This window comes from Homo sapiens, chromosome 20 (assembly GCF_000001405.40).
Source record: "Homo sapiens chromosome 20, GRCh38.p14 Primary Assembly".
Taxonomy (NCBI): domain Eukaryota; kingdom Metazoa; phylum Chordata; class Mammalia; order Primates; family Hominidae; genus Homo; species Homo sapiens.
This window is the reverse complement of record NC_000020.11, coordinates 42,296,395-42,318,490: the sequence shown is the minus strand read 5'-3', so window position 1 is coordinate 42,318,490 and position 22,096 is coordinate 42,296,395. Positions and strand designations below refer to the sequence as shown.

Below are 22,096 nucleotides of genomic sequence, written 5' to 3'. Positions count from 1 at the left end.
TCCCTCACAGATCAGAGTCCCACAAGTAATGGACCCTCAACTGGTCGAGCTACTATTAGCATTCAAGCCAGATTCAAAGATTTACCTGAATATATTGTTATTTATAAAGCAGTGCAGGTCCTGAAAACTCTGTTACAAACACCCCTCCACTTCTGCCCTGCAACCTCTAGGTTTGGGTATTAGGTCCTTGTGCTATTTTTCAGTGACTGCTTTGAGCTTAGCTGTCCTGATAAACATAGGAATTGTACAGTTGAGAAGGACCCCAGAGTTGAGGAGGAAGTGATTATTGAAATCATAATTTAATTTAAACGTTTATTGACTTCAACAGGCATTATGAACATGCATAGATGGTGCACACCCACACACAAACTTTGGATTGTTAACACCTTCTCAGATGTTACACACACTTATTTAGAAGTCTAAACACTCAGGTTAGCCACGTTCATCTGAATGTTATATTTACTCATTTGGAGTTAGATGCCCAGGTAATACAGATCCTCACTTGGAAATGGTACACCCTCAGATGTAGTGTGCATTTCTTGAGAGATTGTCCACATCCACTCGCATGTCACTCACATGCACTCTGAACTGTCAGGTTCTTACTCAGATGTGTATGTACAACAGGCATGGTCATTGAGCTGCTGTTTACCTGCACTCATCTAAGTGTGGCATATACTCATATGCCCAGCGCTTCCTTTTCGCATGCCTGAAAATTCCTATGCTCAAGAAAATTCAGGGGAAAACTTGCCATATTGAGTGTGTCACATTTTCTTAGGGCAGTTCTCCATAGCCTTTTTTCCTTAATGAAATAGTCCTGTGTCTCTGTCATCTCCCAAGTTGTACTCCTTAATCAAGTGTCTTTAGATGGATAGTCTGATTGAAGGATGGTAGCCTGCAACACGTTTCATTTTTGATAAACCACATGCTGGTTCACTATGCCCTGTTTAAATGATTGGTTTGGGGTCCCCTACTGCAACCACCTCATTAATTCACAGAAGTCTCCAGTGGGTACTCTTTGGGCAATCGATCTTCTGTTTTAGATCATGAGTCCCAGAGATCTGTGCAATAAAGCTCTTCTAAAAGAAGAGCATTTATTCCAGAGAACTATAAACTGTGGGGCATTCAAAGAGATTGAAAAATGTTCTCCAACTTACAAACCTTAAAAGAACTTTTACAAAGAGAGTCTAACATTGGGTATCAGTTGATATTCAATAAAGGATCAGTCATCTCTATTCACACACTAGCATCTTCTTACATCCTTCTAACTTGAAGGGAACAATATGAGATCACTAGACAGGAACTCAAGGCAATCGCTGTTTATCCGATTAGGGTTTCTGCATCCAGGCAGATTTGGTTTCATGTTTGCTTTCAATTTTAATTCAATCCAATTTAATTCATTTGAACAAGCATTCATTGATCACTTGTTGGGTGACAGGCATCCTGCTGGGCAGTATGGGGTGGGGGTGGAGAATGAGGCAGAGATAAGTAAGCAACAATGCCTACTTTGTAAAAGGTCACAATCTAGCCAGTGAAAGAGTAGTCCCATCTCATGATATTGGAAAACAAAGCAGATGGAGATTAGATGAGCTCTAGGGGAACTAAAGAGGGAGGTAATTCATCCAGACTGGACATATCTGGACAGGCTTCATAGAGGAAGTGAAAGACATGCTCAGCCTTTGGAGGAAACCAGAGGTGGCCAGGATGCAGGGCATTGCAGGTAGAGGAAGCATAAGTCAGTAATGCATGAGGTGAGATCCAAAAGATGTCTGTGCAATAGCATGGGGTCTGGAGTAGCTGGAAGATGGGAACACCATGAGAAGACCTTCTAAATGGAAGACAGAAGGCAGGCACAGAGGACTTCAAATGCCAAGATTAGGAGTTCAGATTGTATAATTTGGACAATGGAAGGCCTATGAAAGTGTTTGAAGAGCTATATGATTAGGAAGCCATATGATTAGGATGAGTGATTAATAAATCAAGTGCCTTAGAGGCAAAGAGACTAGTTGAATCTGGGTAAGTGGGAAAGTGTCCAACCAAGGCATTATCAGTGGAAGGAGAAAAGAGAGGTGGGGCAGATGCAAACCTGCAGAAGCCAAATCAACAGACTTCTGTAAGGCTGTTGATTAGGATGAGGAGTGAGAACGAAGGAGTTAAGAACTGAGGATGAGCCCTAGATTCAGATTCTGGCCACTTGTCAGATGCTGCTACCATTTACTAAGAAAGGAAATGTAGAAGGAGGAGCAGACAGGTTTGTAGGGGTTGGGGCTAAGTTGAGTTTTAGATGTGTCTAGTGTGAGCTGGCTCTGAGACAGCTAAGTGGAGGTAAAGTTCTACAACGTGGTAGGTTTGAAAATCTGATGCTCAGGACTGGAGTTTTGTTGTAGACCGAACCAATGCTTCCACATAGGAGAAGTTGGGTTGACACCATTAGAGCTAACAAGCTCATTCTTCCAGAAAGTTGCTCAACCATCTGTGTCTCCTCTTTCCTGTCCAGTGTTTATCAGCTGGTTGTCAAGGAGGAGCGACTTCAGAAGTCACGGAGGGCAGCTGACATTATTGAGTGCTTTTCGGTGCCCGTGAGCTATCGGAATGCCTCCAGCCTCGATTCTCTACACTACTTTGCTGCTGAGTTGAAGCCTGCCAACCTGCCTGTCACCCAGCCATTTACAGTGGGTGACAATAAGACATACAATGGCTACTGGAACCCTCCTCTCTCTCCCCTGAAAAGCTACAGCATCTACTTCCAGGCACTCAGCAAAGCCAATGGAGTAAGTATGGCCACATGGAGGCCATTCCTTGCCTTGTTTGCATTTTTTCATTCTCAAATGATAAGTCAGCAGGGCTCTAGAGCAGAGGATGAAAAACTAAGGCCCGTGGGGCAAATCCTACCTCATGCCTTTAAATTAAAAAAATAATAGTACAGCTATGCCTGTTCATTTACATACTGTCTATGGCTGTTTTGATGCTTAACAGTAAAGTTGAACAGTTGTAACAGAGACTATATGCTCCACAAAGCCTAAGATATTTATTATATGGCTTTTTACATAAAACCTTTGCACACTCCTGTATTAAAGTAAAGAGATGGTGCTTTACTTGAGGAAATTACATGACCTCTCTGATCCTTAAGTTCTTCATATATAATAATAATATCTATCAATTTGCTATCTAGGAATGCACTAATCATGGTTTAGTTGATTAGTGATTAATACGCCCTTTTTCATTGCCATTGGTCACATTAGAAAATAGTGTTTCTCCAAAAACAAAAACAAGGTAACCATTTTTTTTTTTTTTTTTTTTTTTTTTTTTGAGACGGAGCCTCGCTCTGTCGCCCAGGCCGGACTGCGGACTGCAGTGGCGCAATCTCGGCTCACTGCAAGCTCCGCTTCCCGGGTTCACGCAAGGTAACCATTTTTGTGTCAAATATTTCTTTGGTCAAGGATTGGCACCAGTCATAATATTAGAAAATCACAGGGCTGGAAAGCATATCAAAGGTCATTCAACAATCTCAAACACACACAAAACAATGGTTCTATCCATACTACAACACCAATTAACTGGCATTAGTGCTTATTCTTGAATACCTCCAATGACAGAGAACTCATTTATCTCTGAGGTAGCTTTACTGTTTTCTGGAGTAGGGAGTGGGCTGTGTCTCTAAGGAGGCTTTTTAATGTACTTACTGAAATATTTCCTATTGAAGTTTCTATCCATTGTTCTTGATTCACACTCTTAGCATCCTACAAAACCAATGCAACCACCTTCTTGGTTTATAGTCTTTCAGTTACATAAGATCTTTTCTAACACCCTTTTCTTCTCTATATAAATGTGCCCATAAGATTGTCTTTTCTGCAAGCTAAATATCTTTAGCCTGTTTTATTACACAAGTTTGTATTTTCCATCAAGGTGGTCATATTTTCATATTTCTTTTCTTTTCTTTTCTTTTCTTTCTTTTTTTTTTTTTTTTGACACAGTCTCACTCTGTTGCCCAGGCTGGAGTGCAGTGGTGCGATCTTGGCTCACTGCAAGCTCCACCTCCCAGGTTCACGCTCTTCTCCTGCCTCAGCCTCCCGAGTAGCTGGGACTACAGGTGCCCACCACCACACCCAGCTAATTTTTTTGTATTTTTGGTAGAGACGGGGTTTTACCGTGTTAGCCAGGATGGTCTCGGTCTCCTGACCTCGTGATCTGCCCACCTCAGCCTCCCAAAGTGCTGGGATTACAGGCGTGAGCCACCGTGCCCAGCCCCAAAGTGGTCATATTTCTTTTAACAAACACCAACAAATGCTAAGCCCTACAGTTCATATTAAGTTTATGTAGTATGTACCCTCCAAGAGCTTATAGAAATGTAAGGGAGTCTGTCATGTGCCTTGTTATGCAGTGTATAACATGGAGAACTGAGAAGCTTGCTGGAGAAGGGAAGCCTGAGACAGAAGCAAGATTTGGTGAAGTGTGTGGGGAACAGCCTGGGCAGGCTCTGGGTGGCCAAGATTGAGAGTTTAATCTGTCAATGGCAGTCAGTGCTTGGTGAGAAACCCGGATTGAGGAACTAATTAACATTTAGAATGTCCACATACCCATTTAAATTCCACTGTGGTATTTCAGTTCTGCATTTATTACTGGTTCAAGCAACACTCCTCACAGAGAGCATAAGACTACAAAGAGAAGCTGCCAGACTGCCTTCCACCTGTCCATCTGGTCTTCCCGCTGCATGAAGCACTCTGATGTATTGAGCAGGAAGACATAAAAATTGGCAGAAGCATCTGGGACTCATCTTGTTCTCGGTTCTCGGCATCCCACACTGGCCAGTTTATCAGTTCAGCACAACCCTCTAAGAAGGTGTGGCTTTCCCTGCTCTTGGCACATATCAAAAGTTGTGGTTGGGTTTCCATGATGAGATGGGAAAGAAGTAGCTTTACTTTATTCTTCCCACTAAGATACTCAGAAAACCTAGAAATAGAGCATGGCTATAGAACCCGGGAAACCAACAAATGCACATCAGAAGGAATGTCCTCACCATAAGAGTGGTTGGCCCTGAGCCAACCACAGAGGTTTTGTTACAGGAAAGGGGTCCTGATCCAGACTCCAAGAGAGGGTTCTTGGATCTCGTGTGAGAAAGAATTCAGGGTAAGTCCGTATAGTGAAGTGAAAGCAAGTTTATTAAGAAGGTAAATGAACAAAAGAATGGCTACTTCATAGACAGAGCATCCCTGAGGGCTGCTGTTTGTCCATTTTTATGGCTATTCCTTGATATGCTAAACAAGGGTGGATTATTCATGCCTCCCCTTTTTAGACCATATAGGGTAACTTCCTGACATTGCCATGGCATTTGTAAACTGTCCTGATGATGGTGGGAGTGTAGCAGTGAGGTCTACCAGAGGTCACTCTCATGGCCATCTTAGTTTTGGTGGATTTTAGCCAGCTTCTTTACTGTAAGCTGTTTTTATAGCAAGGTCTTTGTGGCCTGTATCTTGTACCGACTTCCTATCTCATCCTGTGAGTTAGAATGCCTTAACCATCTGGGAATGCATCTCAGTAGGTCTCAGCCTCATTTTACCCAGGTCCTATTTAAGATGGAGTTGCTCAGGTTCAAATGCCTCCGACAGTTTGCTCCCCAAACATCATATCAGAGACCTCCCTCTTCAAGACTCAGGGATTTGCCATAGAGGAAAAAAAAAAAAAAAAAAAAAAGGATCTCACTCTGAAACTGCCTCATCTCAGAAGCAGTTTTGACACTGCTTCAGAAATGAACAAGGCCATTTAATTACCTGTGCCTTCTATTCCACACCATGCATATGTACTCTTGCTTTGTAACTAAGATTCCCAGTAACGAAACACAGGCAGGAATGGAATTGGATGAGTGCTTATGCCACATGTCTTGCGGGTGCACTTGACCTCACAGGAACAGACAGGGGAAAAGCAATGGGAGCTGGGCACTCAGAAGGCTGTACTTTTCTGGCAAAGGAAAAACTACACACTGTTTCAAATGACTGTCTTTAGTATTAAATTTTACTGAGAAGAGTTGGGTGAAAGGGTCATTGAAGCAGAACAGCCATTCTCAGTCTAACAAATCTCTGCCTGGTCCCTCTCAAATTTTTCCATATCATAAAGGGCAGCAGACAATGATGTTAAGCCTGGAGGATTTTTGAGGAGAAAGTGTTATAATCCACAAATTCTTTATCAGCCAAGTTGTTGTTCGTGTGCAAATACATCAGAAAGCCATTCTCGGTATCCAGGGGCTCCCACGTTCCCTGCTTCTAATAAATCATTCACAGAGCAATTGACTGAGCAATTAATCAAAATAAAGAAATCAAGAATTGAGAAATGTGGAATACGAAGACCTACAGTGAGCATAAAACTAATTAAACATAGCATTAATGCTCAATAATGGCTCTAAGTGTGTTACAAAATGGAAGGTTAATGTAAAATGTAACTACTTAAGGCAAAGATGCATAATGTAAAAACTTAACAGTTCTAATCTGGATCTATAATTCACTATTTTATCAACAAAAACTAAGACAAAGTTGGAAGATGGATGAATGTAAATAAAAATCTGCTCATTTTCTCATGTTAGACAAGAGGGAATACATAATTACTGTTTTATTTCTGATACTGAGAATACTAAAAAGTATAGTTCTTTTAAACAAAGTCAGCTCTCCAATCTATACTTAAAAAGCTGAGAAACAACAGTCAACGAAGAAAAATGAAGAAAATAAAGAAAACTATAAGTAAACATGAAAATCAAAACTATAAAAAAAGCCAGAAGATGAAAGCACTAGATTTGATATGGGGTGACGGGGGGGTAAAAAAGTGTTGTTTTGCTCCATTGTGAAAGAGAAAGAAAACAGCTTAGGTCAAAGAAAAATCAGAATTACCCATATTTCTGTCACTAAAAGATTAAAGACAAAGGATGAGATAGAGTTATATTAACCTCAAGTGAAAGGAAAGCAGAAATGGGCATTTGTTGCAGGATGGTTGTGAGCCAGGTGGAATAATTTACTATCAGCAAATTTCATTGCTCCCTACTCTACCTGCAAGTTTTAGTCAAGGAAGGGTAGGAGAATTCTGAGGTCTGGACATCTTTGTTCTATGGATGTTAAGGATGGTTTGTCAGGTTAACAGAGTGGCTATGAATTCAACCTTTACTATCAGACTGCCTAGGTACAAAACCCTAGTAGCTGTGTGACTTTCAGTAAACTACTAAAATAATTAGATATGATGGATTAATTAAGGAAACATCTGTCAAGCACATGCAATATGTCAAAAAAGGCATTTTTCTGAGTGCTGAGAATGCAGCAGTGAGTCAAGCAAAGATCCCTGATCTCATCGTGTTTTCATTCTAGTGGGGGAGAGAACAAAAATAAATAAGTGAAATAATGTATCGAATAATGAATCCTTAGGTTTCACATTAGGAATGTGGAAGTCAGTCATTAAATGTTTACTATTATCAGCATGAGGATAAAGACATTTTATAGACTCTTTGTTGATCTGTGAATATGAAGTATTTTAATCCAGCCATGTGAACACCATGCAGAGTTCAAGTGTGGCATGCACTATAAGATATGTTGCTCAGGGTTCTTGCAGGCATTTTCATGACACAAGAGTTGTTCACAGGCACTTGTGTTGGGAATTTTGTTCCAATTAGTAATCTCACATTTATCCATTGATGCCTTCTTACAGATAAAAATGTAGTCCCATTTGTCCTGGCACACTGTCTTTGGTGCCTAATTCACAACACCTGTCTCTTATGAATTAGACCATGTTGTAACCATTTGTTTTGGATATAGCAATATTATAGAACTATAGCATCATAGAGTAGGAAGGACTTTGAAGTGTCATCTAGTCTAGACGAGAAGCCAAAAAAAAAATCTCCAATAAAGCATTCTTAGCAACACATTGTATTGCTTCAGCTTGATCAATGCAAATTGCTGGAGTGAAAGGGAGTTGATTCCTTTGTGGAGCAGGTAAAATTGTTAAAGCTTTTTTCCCATATAGAGCTAAATTCTGTCTCCTTGACTCTCCCCTTGTAGCCACTTGTATTGGTTTGAACAAATCAAAACGTTCTTTCCTTTGTTAGCCTTTCAGAGAAAATAAGACAGTACCAACTACCCTCCTCTGGCCACTCAAGTTATTTCTCATTGATAATTAACATGCTATTACTTCTTTTATTTTTCACATGGCATAATTTCTGGGTATCCTTCATCCTACTTACCCTTTTCTCTGATAGGCTCATTTTCCCCATCATGTTCTCCTCAAAAAGAGTTGCCCAGAACCTATCACTGTTCTTCAGATATGGTTCAGACATGCCTGCTAGATTTTAACTAAGCCTCGTGTCTTGAACCTTTCCTAAGACATTATTTCTCAAACATTCCAACATGTTTTTCACTTTGGGGTCTTAATTCAGGGTGCATTTTACCTACATCTGTCTTTTCTTCACTGTTTGCAGAGCTAGTACCTTCTCATTTTTCAGGCCTGAGTTTCAATCTCACATCTCCAGAGAAGAGTCCAACCATATTACCTAAGAACCACCCACCAGCACTCACTCATATGTTAACCCACTATCTTTCTATATTACACTAGATATATATGTATTTTATTTGCACATGTTGTTGGGTACTGCATGCCTCCCACAGCATGCTGAGAGCTCCAAGAGTGATGAATTGTGGTTGGTGTGTTTGGGTTTTTTGTTTTTTTAGCTGCTATATCCTCCATGCTGAGTGTACTATTTAACACATAATAGACACCTAATAATCATTTGATGGATTAATGAAAGAATGAGACTATGAACTGTTTCTTGTTGTCTATGAATCTGTTTCCTCACTTATAAATTGAAATAGTAATATATACTTCACACAGTCTGTTTGAGGATTAAATAAGAAAAAGATATTGAATAATGAAAAGCACCAAGTAGGTGTCAGTACAGTCTGAATTTCCATTCAGCGTAGAATGAGAGATGTTGTTTGAGCCATTTTCACCATAGATAAAAGAGTCCTAAAGGACCTTTTTTCTCCATCATAGTAGTAAGATTTTTTTCCCCAGATGTCTCATTTCCCAAGCTCCAGGCTCCTGGGCAGCCTTGATTTCCTCCAAATCCTCCAAATGGTACCCAGGGTAGCTGTCTCAGTTCTAAACAGCGGGTGGGTGCAGTTTCGCATTGTTTGTTTCACACTCTTCCCAGAATGAGGTCTGCTGAATCTACTGTTCTCTGCATCCTCACCACCATTAGCCGTAATTGTGAAGTTGAAAGGACCATAATTAACGGTTGGATGCAAAACAAGTGTGGCAAACTCATGCAAATATCCATCAGAAGCCACCTTTTGTTGGGCAATGCTGTTATGCATGTTCTATTTATGCAGAGGATAAAAGTCTTTTCTTGTCATATCCTTTCCATCATGTAGGGGTACATTTAACCTGGATGATGCCTCTGCCAAATGCTAAGCTAAATAAGAGAAGTGGGAAGTAGCAGGGTGATTGTTCTCTCTCTCCTACTTCCTCCTCCAGTTCTTGAACTCAATTGCCTCTTGAGAGCACTTGGAAACCAGATGCTGTGTTGAATTGGTCATGATGCTTGCAGTATAATCACGTTATAATAGTGGGGATTATCTAGGTAGAGCTAGGTTAGGGAAAATTCTGTGTCTCTGAATGAATTGGGAGAAATTATATTCACTTGTGTCCAACCACTGTTAAAGAAATGGTTGCACATGGATGGGTTTTCTGTGGCATGATAGAGTGGAAAGAACTGAGAGTTGAGCATCAGACAGACTTGGCTTTGAATTTTGGCTGCTCTCAGCTATGTGAACTTGAACAGTTTACTTAACATCTCAAGATGGAAAATATGATTAATGATCTGCCTCAAAAAAATCGGGAGAGAGTAAATTAGACAATGTATATTAAAGTATCTTATCGCATTACAGTTGGACTATTTGTTCTTTTTTCTTTTGGCTGCTTTCCAGAGGCTCCTCTTCTGAGGGGGAAGAGGGTTGGAGCATCCTTACCTGGCATATACCGATTTGTCCAGTAAACTCCACATAGAAGCACACACCTTCCTAACTTTGGAGGACTTTAGGACTTGTGTCTGTGTCCCAGCTGATGACCGCCTTGACTCACCCATGACTCACCCCAGGCTGTATTCCTCTTAGTTTAACTTCTCATACATGGTTTTGTCACTGGAAAGGGGTCCGGATCCAGACCCCAAGAGAGGATTCTTGGTTCTTGTGGAAGAAAGAATTCTAGGCAAGTCCACGCAAGTTTATTAGGAAAGTTAAGGAATAAAATAATGGCTGCTCCATAGACAGAGCAGCAGTATGAGCTGCTGGTTGGCCATTTTTGTGGTTATTTCTTAATGATATGCTAAAAAAAAAGGGGTGGATTATTCATGAGTTTTCTGGGAAAGGGGTGGGCAATTCCCGGAACTGAGGGTTCCTCCCACTTTCAGAACATATAGGCTAACTTCTTGATGTTGTCATAGCACTTATAAACTGTCATGGTGCCGGTAGAAGTGGCTTTTAGCATGCTGATGCATTATAATTCGCATATAATGAGCAGGAGAATGACCAGCCGTCACTTTTGTCACCATCTTGCTTTTGGTGGGATTTGGCCGGCTTCTTTACTGCAACCTGTTTCATCAACAACATCTTCATGACCTGTATCTCATGCCAACCTCCTGTTTCTTCCTGTGACTTAGAATGCCTAACCTCCTGAGAATACAGCCCAGTAGGTCTCAGCCTTATTTTACCCAGCCCCTATTCAAGATGGAGTTGCTCTGGTTCAAAGGTCTCTGACAGTTTCAAGCCTGATATCTGTTCCTGTTGAGTCTTTTGGCACAATTGATCTTATCTTTTGGTTATGATATTGCCCTTTCTACCCCATTTCTTATTTCTCGTGTTAGTTCAGTGACTGTTCGCATGTCCTTATGAAAACCTCAGATAGACATGGAATGAGAAGCTGTAGATATAAGCTCTAGAGGGTTCGAGTTAAGATCATCAGGAGATCACATGGCAGTTTGGGTCTTGGATACCCCATCAGGAAGTTTATTTGAAAACTCCTATATTGGTTAAGATAAGCTAAATTATTCTGTAGTAACAACAACAAAATCTCACTGGATCACTTCTGCTATATATTTGAAATGGGTCAGCAGAGGGTCTCTGCTTGTTGCAGGCAGAGACTCAGGCCAACAGAATGTCCATCTTGACACCACCACCAAGTCTGAGAAAGAAAAATGTGGCAAATAGAGCATTCGTTCTACAAGTTTCCATACAAAGTGGTGCATAGCATTTTCACATTCCACTGGCCAAGGCTAACCACATGGCCACACTTAATTTCAGAAAGAATAAGGCAGTGCCTTCTATATGCCTAGGAGAACTGGAATATTTGAGAACTTCCCCAATGACTACCACAATTTTCCATGATGACTAAGCCTCCCCTTCATATTCTTATAATACCCAGACTTGCTCCTGAAGCACCTGGGCAGTTCATACCACAAATCCTGAGGAATTTCAATTGCTTGAGCATCTGCTGTGTCTCAGATATTAAGCAAGGTGCTTTCACCTATGCTGCTTCCTTGATTGGTCTCACAAAGTGACTACATTTTTTCAGTAGATGGACGAACACCTAGAGGCTCCTGGAATCCCATGGGGTCTCAGTTACTTCACACTGAAGGAGGGATTTTAGTAACAGCTTTTCCCCTTTACCTCCATGGAGGAATGGTAAAGAAATGCCTGAAACTCAATGTGCTCCTGTTCCACCCTGAAAAGCAACGGTCTTCCAATGCTTCTATAACTCAGCAGACCTTAGACCTGTACCACCCATCGGTAGCTGAGCCAAGGCAACAGAGAGCTGTGACCCAGAGGCCCCCACGTAACCGTTTGCTGACTTGTCACTATAGTCTATGTAAGGAATCGATTCCTGGATTTTATTAGCTCTGCAGAGCCCTGTTGAAGTGGAGAGGAAGACTGAACTAGACACTTTGATTCCAGGATTATCATCACAACCTTTCCATTACTCCTTAGGAAAATCTCAATCGGGTAAACATCCACTCACAGCTCTTGTCTGTCACCAGAGCCTAGGTTCCATGCCCCATTTATCTGCCTAGAACTCTTTCCCAGTCCTCAGTGGACTCCATCTCCTGGGGCTTACCCACTCACTTGGGCATCCCTGCTTCCAGGCCTCCATTCCATTGTTTGAGCCTTAAAACTCTAAACCCCTGCTGGAGCTCTGTTGGGGCCCAGACTTCTCTCCTTAGGTAAGATAGAAATTCCCCAAGTGTCACCTTGTACAGATACCAAGATGAGCTCTCCCAGGTTGCTAATTTATTTTTTCATCCACTTACAGTTTCTACAGATTTTATTATCATGGTATGAGACCTGAGGGAGCAGGAACATTTTCCTTCCCATGCAAATATACTTTAAATTCATTTGGAAAGGGAGATGAAGGTTACCCAAATGTTGACAGCTGATAATCTTGTCAGCCTGGGCCTTCAGGGATAAATGCTCCAGACTCCAGTCCCAACAAAGTTCATGGAAATAGCAGCCTCAGTTTCTATATAGCAGCATCTCTGCCTCCATCAGGCCCCTACAATGTAAGGAACCTCGTGAAGCTTGGACTGATTGCCCTCAGATGGTGAAAAAGTAGAGAAACTTCTGAATTTGGAAATGGTATCCATGGGTTTTAGAACTGGCTTTTCCGTTTCTTAGCTCCATAGACAGAATACTTGCCTGCCAAACCTCAGTTTCCCCTCTGTCAAACAGGGATGAGATGTGTCCTTCAAGCTCACTAGGACCTTTGTAACAAGTAAATGGTAGGCGTGATAACTCTTTGCAAAGGACCTTTCAGGTAAAGGTATACTTGCTAAAACACACACACACACATACACGCACACACACACGTGCACACACATGTTAAAACTGATACTCAATTCAGTTATTGGAAAACTTTGAAGTATCTTTGGTGGAAACACTTGGGTATGTGAATCTAAATTTTTAACTGTAAATTTTATGAAATTTATATACAGAACAAGAATTCAGCATATGTGCATATACACATAAATATTTTAGCATGCATATATATAGATGTATGTGTATATATGAGTATGTATGTATACATGTTCAATTAAAATTTTTTTTTTTTACTTTTATTTTATTTTTTGAGACAGAGTCACACTCTGTTGCCCAGGCTAGATTGCAGTGGCATGATCTCAGCTCACTACAACCTGCCTCCCAGGTTCGAGTGATTCTCCTGCCTCAGCCTCCCAAGTAGCTGGGACTACAGGCATGCATCAACATGCCTGGCTAATTTTTGTATTTTTAGCAGAGATGGGTTTTCACCATGTTGACCAAGCTGGTCTCGAACTGCTGACCTCAAGCAATCCTCCTGCCTCAGCCTCCCAAAGTGCTGGGATTACAAGCAGGAGCCACTGCACCAGGCCCTAGAATAAAAAGTTTAAATTAGTCTAAGAATCTTATAGTGGAATAAAGAGTAATCATTGCACCAGAGGCCTAGTATAGGTGGTTAGCGCAGGGTACACTATCTGTATCTCCTGAGCTTCCTCGAAGCCAAGGAAAAAAAGAGCAGGTGGCAGGTTTGCATAGCTTCTCTTACTTGAAGGAAGCATACATATTTTTCATGAAAGACACTAAGAGGGTGATTTATCACATATATCCTTGTATAAGAAGCCCTGAGTTGATGCTGGTCAATGTCATCAGAACATTTTTGCTCAAACACTCAATTAGTCCCTCTTATATCAATCCTATGAAATCTGAGGTTAAAATATAAAAAGTTAATGGAGACATTTGCACTCACGGATTCTATTTCTTGCACTATAAAATGGCATTAATGCTATTAAATAAGATTAGTGAATTTCCAAGTTTGTTTCACCTCAGCATTTTTGATTAATATGTCTAGCATGGGGTCTTTCCTGTTGCATAGATTGTCACTGACCAGCTACATGACCTTAGGCAAGTGACTTAGGCTCTCTGAGTCTCTTCTTCTTTTGGAAAACATTAACACCCATAGTATCAACTTTATAAGAATGTTTCTAAATATTAAATAATAAGATGAATAAAACACTTATCACGGGGCTTGGCATGCAATAAACATCCAATTAATGTCAGATATTGCTATTACATATCACAGGTGGGATAGAGCATAGAGGTACACTCAGGAAAGAACAAGCAGAATCCACAGGGGCAGAGTTTTTAAACCCATGGATCAAATTTGAATAGAGTATGAACATGACGTGGGATCAGGGAATTCAGGAGGAGGAAAAAAATTAGTGAAGTCCAGGGTTTCCAGAGACGGCAGCTGACACACTGGCTGCCTGAAAGAAAGAGAGGGATTGAGATGTCAAAGGAAGTTTGGGAATGTCGTACTTACGGAGAGGCAAGTGGAGAAGTGGGACAATTCTTCTGCAGTCCCTTTCCTCCTAGAGGCTGAATTTTCATCAAGTGTCATCTTTTACATCATGGTCCTCAAGTTTGCAAACCCATAAATGCAATTTATTGGGCTACACAGTTGAAGAGATTGACATGAACCATATGTACAAGACACTGATGAAAATAGTAGGCAATGATTCATTCATCTCCTTCAAAGTTATTCCTGCATCTTTCCTATCAGCAAAGTCTGGGTTTCCTGCTATACATCACCTTCTATATTCAGCCATCACCAAGTTCTCTTTGTTCTACACTCTGAAGCTCTCTCTAATCCATGCACTTTTCTCATCTCCAGTGCCACCATCGTAGTTCTGGATAGTAACATCTTCTGCCTGGACAACCTCAACAGTCTCCTAACGCTTCTTCCCACATCCACGATTGCTTGTCTCAAACAGATTCTCGAATCACAGCAAGTGTAAATTGGCACTATATGTATTCTCATTTAACACACAAGCAAGCCAAGGCTGTGAGAGGCTATGATTTGCTGAAGCATACTCCAGAAACAAGAGAACGAGCTGGGGTTGAATCTGTGCATGTGAAAAATGCAGTTAAAAGTCCTATGCATTTACTGCTCCGTTTCATGCCGAGCCCTAGTCCCACAAGATAGCTTCATAGAGGAATATGGGTGCACTAGAACCAGGAGGGTCCCAAATCCCTTATGCACTCATATTTTTCTTTTCCTCCCGCCAAACATGGCCAGCCTAAGTCCCTCAGTCAATCTTGAAACACCTGCTGGCCCTGCCATTAACATCAACAAATAGTGAGGAGCTGTACTAATAACAATTATCATAATAAATTGGCCTTTGATTACATCTGTCACCTGAGAATTTCAAAGACTTTACAAACATCAATTAGTAATTACAGCTCAATGGATCTCTTACAGAGCAGGAATCATTAAGGTCAGATAAGAGCTGCGCAGGGAAGCATGAAGGACTGCTCTGGTTTGGGTTGGTTTAAACCAGGGGGTTGCCAGCTCCTAATAGAAAGTCTAAGTCCCTCTTCATGAGGTGCAGAGAAACTACATTTCCAACTTCTCAATTAGGGGATAGTTTGTACACAGCCTCAAAGTCCTATTGTTGAGGAATGGGAAGTATAAAATGCAGTATTGGAAGGGAGCTTATTGATTGTCCAGTTCTCTTCTTTCAGCAGATAAAAGGAAACTGAAGTCCAGTATGGGGAAGTTATTTGCTCAAGATCAGAGCCATGGCTTAAACCCAGTCTCCCACACCCCATTTGCATTTGTTTACTCTGCAGAATTGTGCCTTCATTGGTCATGAGCTCCTCTGTAAGGAGATATGAATGATGATGATAAAACCCCAAAAACCCACCAATTATTTATTATGGGCTTGTTGTGAGTCAGTTGGGAATACAGATAAATAAGTTACAGTTCCTGCCCTCAGCGAACCCACAATCCAGTGGAGAAGACAGCCATGAAGACAAATGTGGGCAATAAATTATCAGCAATCCCAGTGGCAGAATACCTGGTGTGTTCAGCTATAAACCTGGAGGTAGAGGGGATGAGGAGGTGCCTAGGAAAATCTTGTAGAAGAAGTGACATTTGACTTGGCTATTAGAAGGTAAGTGGATATTTTCCAGGTAGACAGTGGGGCAGAGGAAAGTGTATGTTTTGCAAAGGAAGCACCTGAGCAGAAGCCCCAAAATTGGGGATTCCCTGATACATTTGGGAAGACAATCCCGGTGTTGGTTCCGGGATATGGAATGAAGCCCAGAGAGAGGCAGATATCAAATAATGCTGGGCTTTGTATGCCATGCTAAAATACTTGGCATTTATTCTGTTGAAAACAGGGAAAAGAAAAAAAAATTGTCTTGCCTATAATCTCAATATCAATTTATTAGAATCATAAAGTCATGCATATATATTTGCATCCTTAAGGCACTTGTGCTCACAAAATTTTGTTTACCCTAGAGAGTTGTACAGAGGGTATTGCTCCCATTCTACAGATGAGAACACTGTAAGTCAAAAAAAATAAGGAATGTACCCAATGTCACTCATGTTGGGAAAAACAAAATTTGAATGTCTCAATTTTTTATTGATGACATACTCCATATGTATTGTTCTCACCTTTAAAACACACGTTGTTAGCTAAGAAACGTTTCACACATACAAAAGTCAAGATGATAACAGACTGATCTGTATGTGCCCGTCACTCAGCTTCAACAATGATCATCAACCCATCGTCAAATTTGTTTTTGTTCCAACTTACTTTCTCTTCCACCAATATGTCTAACTCCTTTTTTTCAAGGTAGTTTCAAATGCACAGAGATGTTTCAAGAATAGTGTAAAGAATGTTAATAAGCTCTCTATACAGATTCCCTAATTGCTAACAGTTTACCACAATAGATTTACCATCCCATTTTCTCTCTCTCCCTCTCCTGTTCTTTCTCTTCTTCCCCTATTTGTCTGTTTGTCTATCTATCTGTCTATAAATCACCCCTTTACTCCTAAATGCTTTAATGCGCAATTTCCAACATAACTACAATACAATTACCAGGAAATTAATGTCCACATAATACTACTAGCCTCAGTTTTGCCAATTGTCTCAGTCATATACTTTTTAGTAAATTTAAACAATAACAAAAAAAAACCTGGTCCAGGGTCACATGTTGCCTTTAGTTGTCAGGTCCCTTTAGAGTTCTCATATCTGTCTTGCCTTGACTTTTATGCCCTTGACTCTTAAAAATTACAGACCAGTTATTTTTTAGAATGTCCCTCAAGTTGGGTTTGTCTGAGGTTTTCTCAAGATTAGATTCAAGTTATGCATTTTTGTCAGGAATACCACAAAAGTGATGTTGCTTCCTTCTCAATGTGTCATACTAGGTGGCACATGATATCAGTTTGTTCCATTACTGGTGACATTAACTTTGATTACTTAAACTGTTGTCCATTAAGGTTTTCTCCACTATAAAGCTACTATTTCTTTGTAATATATAAGTGTTTTGTACACACATATTTCTAGACTATGTAAAATCTTCTTCAAACTTTCATCTTTTAGCATTTGCTGATATTTTTTGTTGAAATCAACTATTACAAAGATGTTTGCCATTAGGTATATCTCCCAATGCTATCCCTCCCCCTTCCCCCCACCCAACAACAGACCCCAGAGTGTGATGTTCCCCTTCCTGTGTCCATGTGTTCTCATTGTTCAATTCCCACCTATAAGTGAGAATATGCGGTGTTTGGTTTTTTGTTCTTGCGATATTTTACTGAGAATGATGATTTCCAATTTCATCCATGTACCCTAAAACTTAAAGTATAATAATAATAAATAATAATAATAATAATAATAATACAAATAAAAAGATGTTTGCCAAATGACAATTTTCTAATTCCATCATTTGTTCCACATTTATTAGTGGACATCTATTCCGAGGATGAGTTCTCCTTTCTCCCCTATTTTCAATGTATTAATTTATTTATATTGATAAAAATTTATAGATTCTTCTTTTATTCAGTTGGTTATACTTCAGTACTATCATCATTTACTTTTATGCTCAAATTGTCCCAGAATTAGCTAGTGTGAGCCCCTTCAAGATGGTTCTTTTGTCATTCTGAAATGTCTCCAGCAGTTCTTGAAAACTTATTTTCTTTCTGACAGAATCTTGTGCTTCCTTTGCCCCAGCTCTGGTTCCTTTAAATGGGGAATGGTACTTATTATAGAAACTCAGACCTGGGAACGAGTGGGAATCATTGTTAGTGAGTACCACTGATTCTAGGCTCTTTGTCTATGTATCCCTCTACCTGTCTATCCATCTATCTTTCTGTCTATTTTTTTTTTTTTTTTTTTTTTTGAGACGGAGTTTTGCTCTTTTGCCCAGGCCGGAGTACAATGGCGTGATCTTGGCTCACTACAACCTCTGCCTCCCAGGTTCAAGTGATTCTCCTGCCTCAGCCTCCTGAGTAGCTGGGATTACAGGCACCGGCCATCATGCCCAGCTAATTTTTTTATTTTTAGTAGAGACGGGGTTTCACCATGTTGGCCAGGCTGGTCTCAAACACCTGACCTCAGGTGATCCACCTGCCTCAGCCTCCCAAAGTGTTGGGATTACAGGCATGAGCCGCCACACCCAGCCTTTAGCTATCTATCATAAAAGGCAAAAGTGGCCGGGTGCGGTGGCTCACGCCTGTAATCCCAGCACTTTGGGAGACTGAGGCAAATGGATCATGAGGTCAAGAGATCGAGACCATTTTGGCCAACATGGTGAAACCCCATCTCTACTAAAAATACAAAAAATTAGCTGGGCGTGGTGGTGCATGCCTGTAGTCCCAGCTACTCGGGAGGCTGAGGCAGGAGAATCGCTTGAAACCAGAAGGCGGAGGCTGCAGTGAGATGAGATAGCGCCACTGCACTCCAGCCTGGGCAACGAGAGTGAAACTGTGTCTCAAAAAAAAAAAAAAAAAAAAAAAGGCAAAAGTTCATGATACCTCCATTCTAGTCCAACATCAAGGAGTTTATTCCAGCCTTCACTCTTCCCATTTCTGTAATTCCCTTCTCTGACAGTGAGAAGCTTAACTTCATTATTATTCATATATTTACTTATTGTTCAACATAGAATACTCAAGAAGTATTTCCAGAAATATTAATCTTAGCAAAACAAACCTACTAACTAGGGTTCAATATATATTTTCTGTTCTCTCTTCAGTCTAAATATATGCAAACCGTTGTGTTGAAAATTATTTGGTTTATTTTTTTTCTTTCACTAGAATATGGTTATGTATTTATTGGAAATTAAGTTAGGTTTGTTTATGACTCTTTGTTTTTAATTTTAGTTTCATTTTGCCCATCCCTGTTGATTTCTTAATATGTAAAACATTATAACGTGGTTCTAAAAACATTATAACGTGGTTCTAAAAGCCTAGCTGTACAAACAAGTGCATACAGAAAAGCACATATCACTTCTTTTACATCACCTCTACCATCCCCTGTTGGAAACCAATGTCATTAATTTCTTGGCGGTTTTTTTTTGTGAAAATTTTGAAGTCAATGTATGTTATATTTCCCCTTCTTATAGAAAAGCTAACATACTATAGATACTTGGGTATCACTTTATATTATTTCATAAATGTCTTCCTTATTTTTTTTTTACAGCTGCACAGTACTCTTTGTTTTGTTTTGTTTTGTTTTTTTGAGACAGAGTCTTGCTGTGTCACCAGGCTAGAGTGCAGTGGCATGATCTTGGCTCAACTGCAACCTCCCCCTCCTGGGTTCCAGCCATTCTCCTGGCTCAGCCTCTCAAGTGGCTGGGATTAAAGGCACCCACCACCATGCCCAGCTAATTTTTGTATTTTTAGTAGAGACAGGGTTTAACCATGTTGGCCAGGATGGTCTCTATCTCCTGACCTCATGATCAGCCCGCCTCAGCCTCCCAAAGTGCTGGGATTACAGGCGTGAGCCACCGCGCCCGGCACAGTACTCTATTATGTGATTATAGCTGTTTATTTGGCCACTCTCATGTGTGGCTATATTGTTTTCAATATCTTTCAGTTGCAAATGTTGCTGCATCAAGGAACTTGTGCACATATATTTTTGTATTGTTGAAGGTGCGTCTTCAGAGTGAATTCCTAGAAGAGGAATTGTAGGATTAAAGGGTGGACTAATACACAGTTTTGCTAGATGTCACTAAATTTCCTTCCTTAAGGGTAAAACCAACTTGCATTTGTCCCAGCAATGTATGACTGTTTCCTCACTGCCTTGTAAACAGTTTGTGTGGTCTAACTTTCATTTTTGTCACACTTACATGTAAGAAATTATATCTCAATATAGCTTTAATTTCCTTTTTCTTATAAGTGAAATTGCTATATTCTCCTATACTTAATAGCCATTTTTATGTAATTTTTGAATTACCTGTTTATGTCTTTTGCTCAATTTTCAGTTTGTTTTTTACTTTTTCTATCAATTTTTAAAGTTATTTATATATCAGAGATATCAGTACTTTATCTGTGATATATGTTGCAGTTTTTTCCAGTTTGTGATTTATCTGTTGACTTTGCTTATATTTTTGCCACAGCAAATAAAATGTTGTCAGATGAATCATTTTTTTTCTTTTATTACATTTAAACTTTGAATCACAGTTAAAAAGTTTTTTCTTACACTCAGGCTATAAAGGAATTTACCCATGTTTGCTTCTAAGTCTTATGTATTTTAGTATTTTTATATTTAGTTTTCTGATGTTTGGTCTTTGTTTTTGTGTGTGATGTAAATTATGGATCTAATTTTTATCTGTTTTCCCAAATGTCTGTCTAGTTGTCTTAGCAACATGTATTTAAAAGTCCATTTTTGTCCCGATAATTTGAGATGCTGCTTTTCTCATATTTTAAATTTTCATATGTTCTTGGGTGTTTTTCTGGATGTCGTATTCTATCCCACCAGTCTATGTGGCTATTTACGCAGCAGCCCCACACTGTTATAATTATGGGATCTAAACTTTAATGTCTGCGAGGGAAAGTTCCCCATCGAGATTTCCTTTTTCAGTGAGTTTCTAGCTCTTCTTGCATGTTCCCTATAAATTTTAGTGTCCACTTGTCCAGATTCATAAAAAGTCTATTAGTAATTCTGGGATTGCATTAAATTTATACATTAATTAGAGTGAAATGACATCTTTAAGATGTTGAATTATCTTACCTGAGATAAGGGATGTCTTTCTATTTGTTCGAGTCTACATTATCTTTCATGGGTGCTGTAAAGTTTTCTTTATACAGGTTTTGTGTGTTCTTGCTATTAGCAAGTATTTCATCTTTGTTGCCATTGTAATGGGGTTTTGCTACCCTTATGTCCTCTGAGTATTGGTTTTATATATGACTACTATTGACTTTGTAAATACATTATGTTTTTGGGGGCATAGATGTTTATACCTATTATATTCTTTGTTAGCTGTGGATTTTAGCAATAAAAAGTATCCTTTGCCATGTGTAATACTTTTTTAGTTGAATTCTTGTTTTATATCAGGATCACTACTATATCTTTATTATTTTTTCATTTACTGTTTATAGCTTATTTCATTCCTTCCTTTTTACTTTTCTGAAGAAAATTATTTTGTTCACCTTTTTTTGAAATTTTTTAAATTTGTATTTTTGAGGGTACATAGTAGGATATATTTATATATTTCTTTGTTTATGGGGTAAATGAGACATTTTGATACAGGCATGTGATATGAAATAAGTACATCATTGAGAATGGGGTATCCATCCCCTCAAGCATTTATCCTTTGAGTTACAAACAATCCAGTTACACTCTGTTATTTTAAAATGTACAAATAAATTATTATTGACTATGTTTGTTGTAGCACTGTTTACAATAACAATGTTTTAGATGTGACTTTTATACATAGAAGGTAGTTGGGTCTTGTCTTGTAATCCAAATGAATATCTTCTACATTTCAGTACTTGAGTTAAATCATTAACATTTGGTGATATGACTGAGATATCTCAACTCTGCCATATATTTTTATGTCATAATTTACTATATTAATTTTATAATACTTTCTGGTGTGCTTTCTTTACTCTTTTATTTTAAAATTTCATTTGGTATTTAGGAAGTCTTGTATTTCTGTTCTAGTAGTTACCTTTGTTCTTTTATATTATTTAACACTTTTTTTTTTTTTTTGAGACAGAGTCTCGCTGTGTTACCCAGGCTGGAGTGCAGTGGTGTGATCTC

General features: G+C 39.5%; 1 protein-coding gene across 11 annotated transcripts in view, besides 1 other annotated feature; it reads left to right on the top strand.

Annotated features, from left to right (window-relative positions):
• Nucleotides 1-22,096, top strand: part of PTPRT (protein tyrosine phosphatase receptor type T) — a 1,158,017-nt gene that overhangs the window by 871,416 nt on the left and 264,505 nt on the right. For all 11 annotated transcript variants that reach the window (XM_047439848.1, NM_001394024.1, NM_007050.6 and 8 more), the window contains exon 12: nt 2,495-2,768. In XM_047439848.1, the coding sequence (XP_047295804.1) occupies nt 2,495-2,768 (274 nt within the window). The remainder of the gene's footprint in view (nt 1-2,494; nt 2,769-22,096) is intronic.
• Nucleotides 8,944-9,627: an enhancer, noted in NCBI's record as "OCT4-NANOG hESC enhancer chr20:40937504-40938187 (GRCh37/hg19 assembly coordinates)". NCBI's record gives its function as "activates a minimal SCP1, AML or CMV promoter by ChIP-STARR-seq in primed H9 embryonic stem cells {active_cell/tissue: H9 hESC(primed)}" and the evidence as "EXISTENCE:reporter gene assay evidence [ECO:0000049][PMID:30033119]".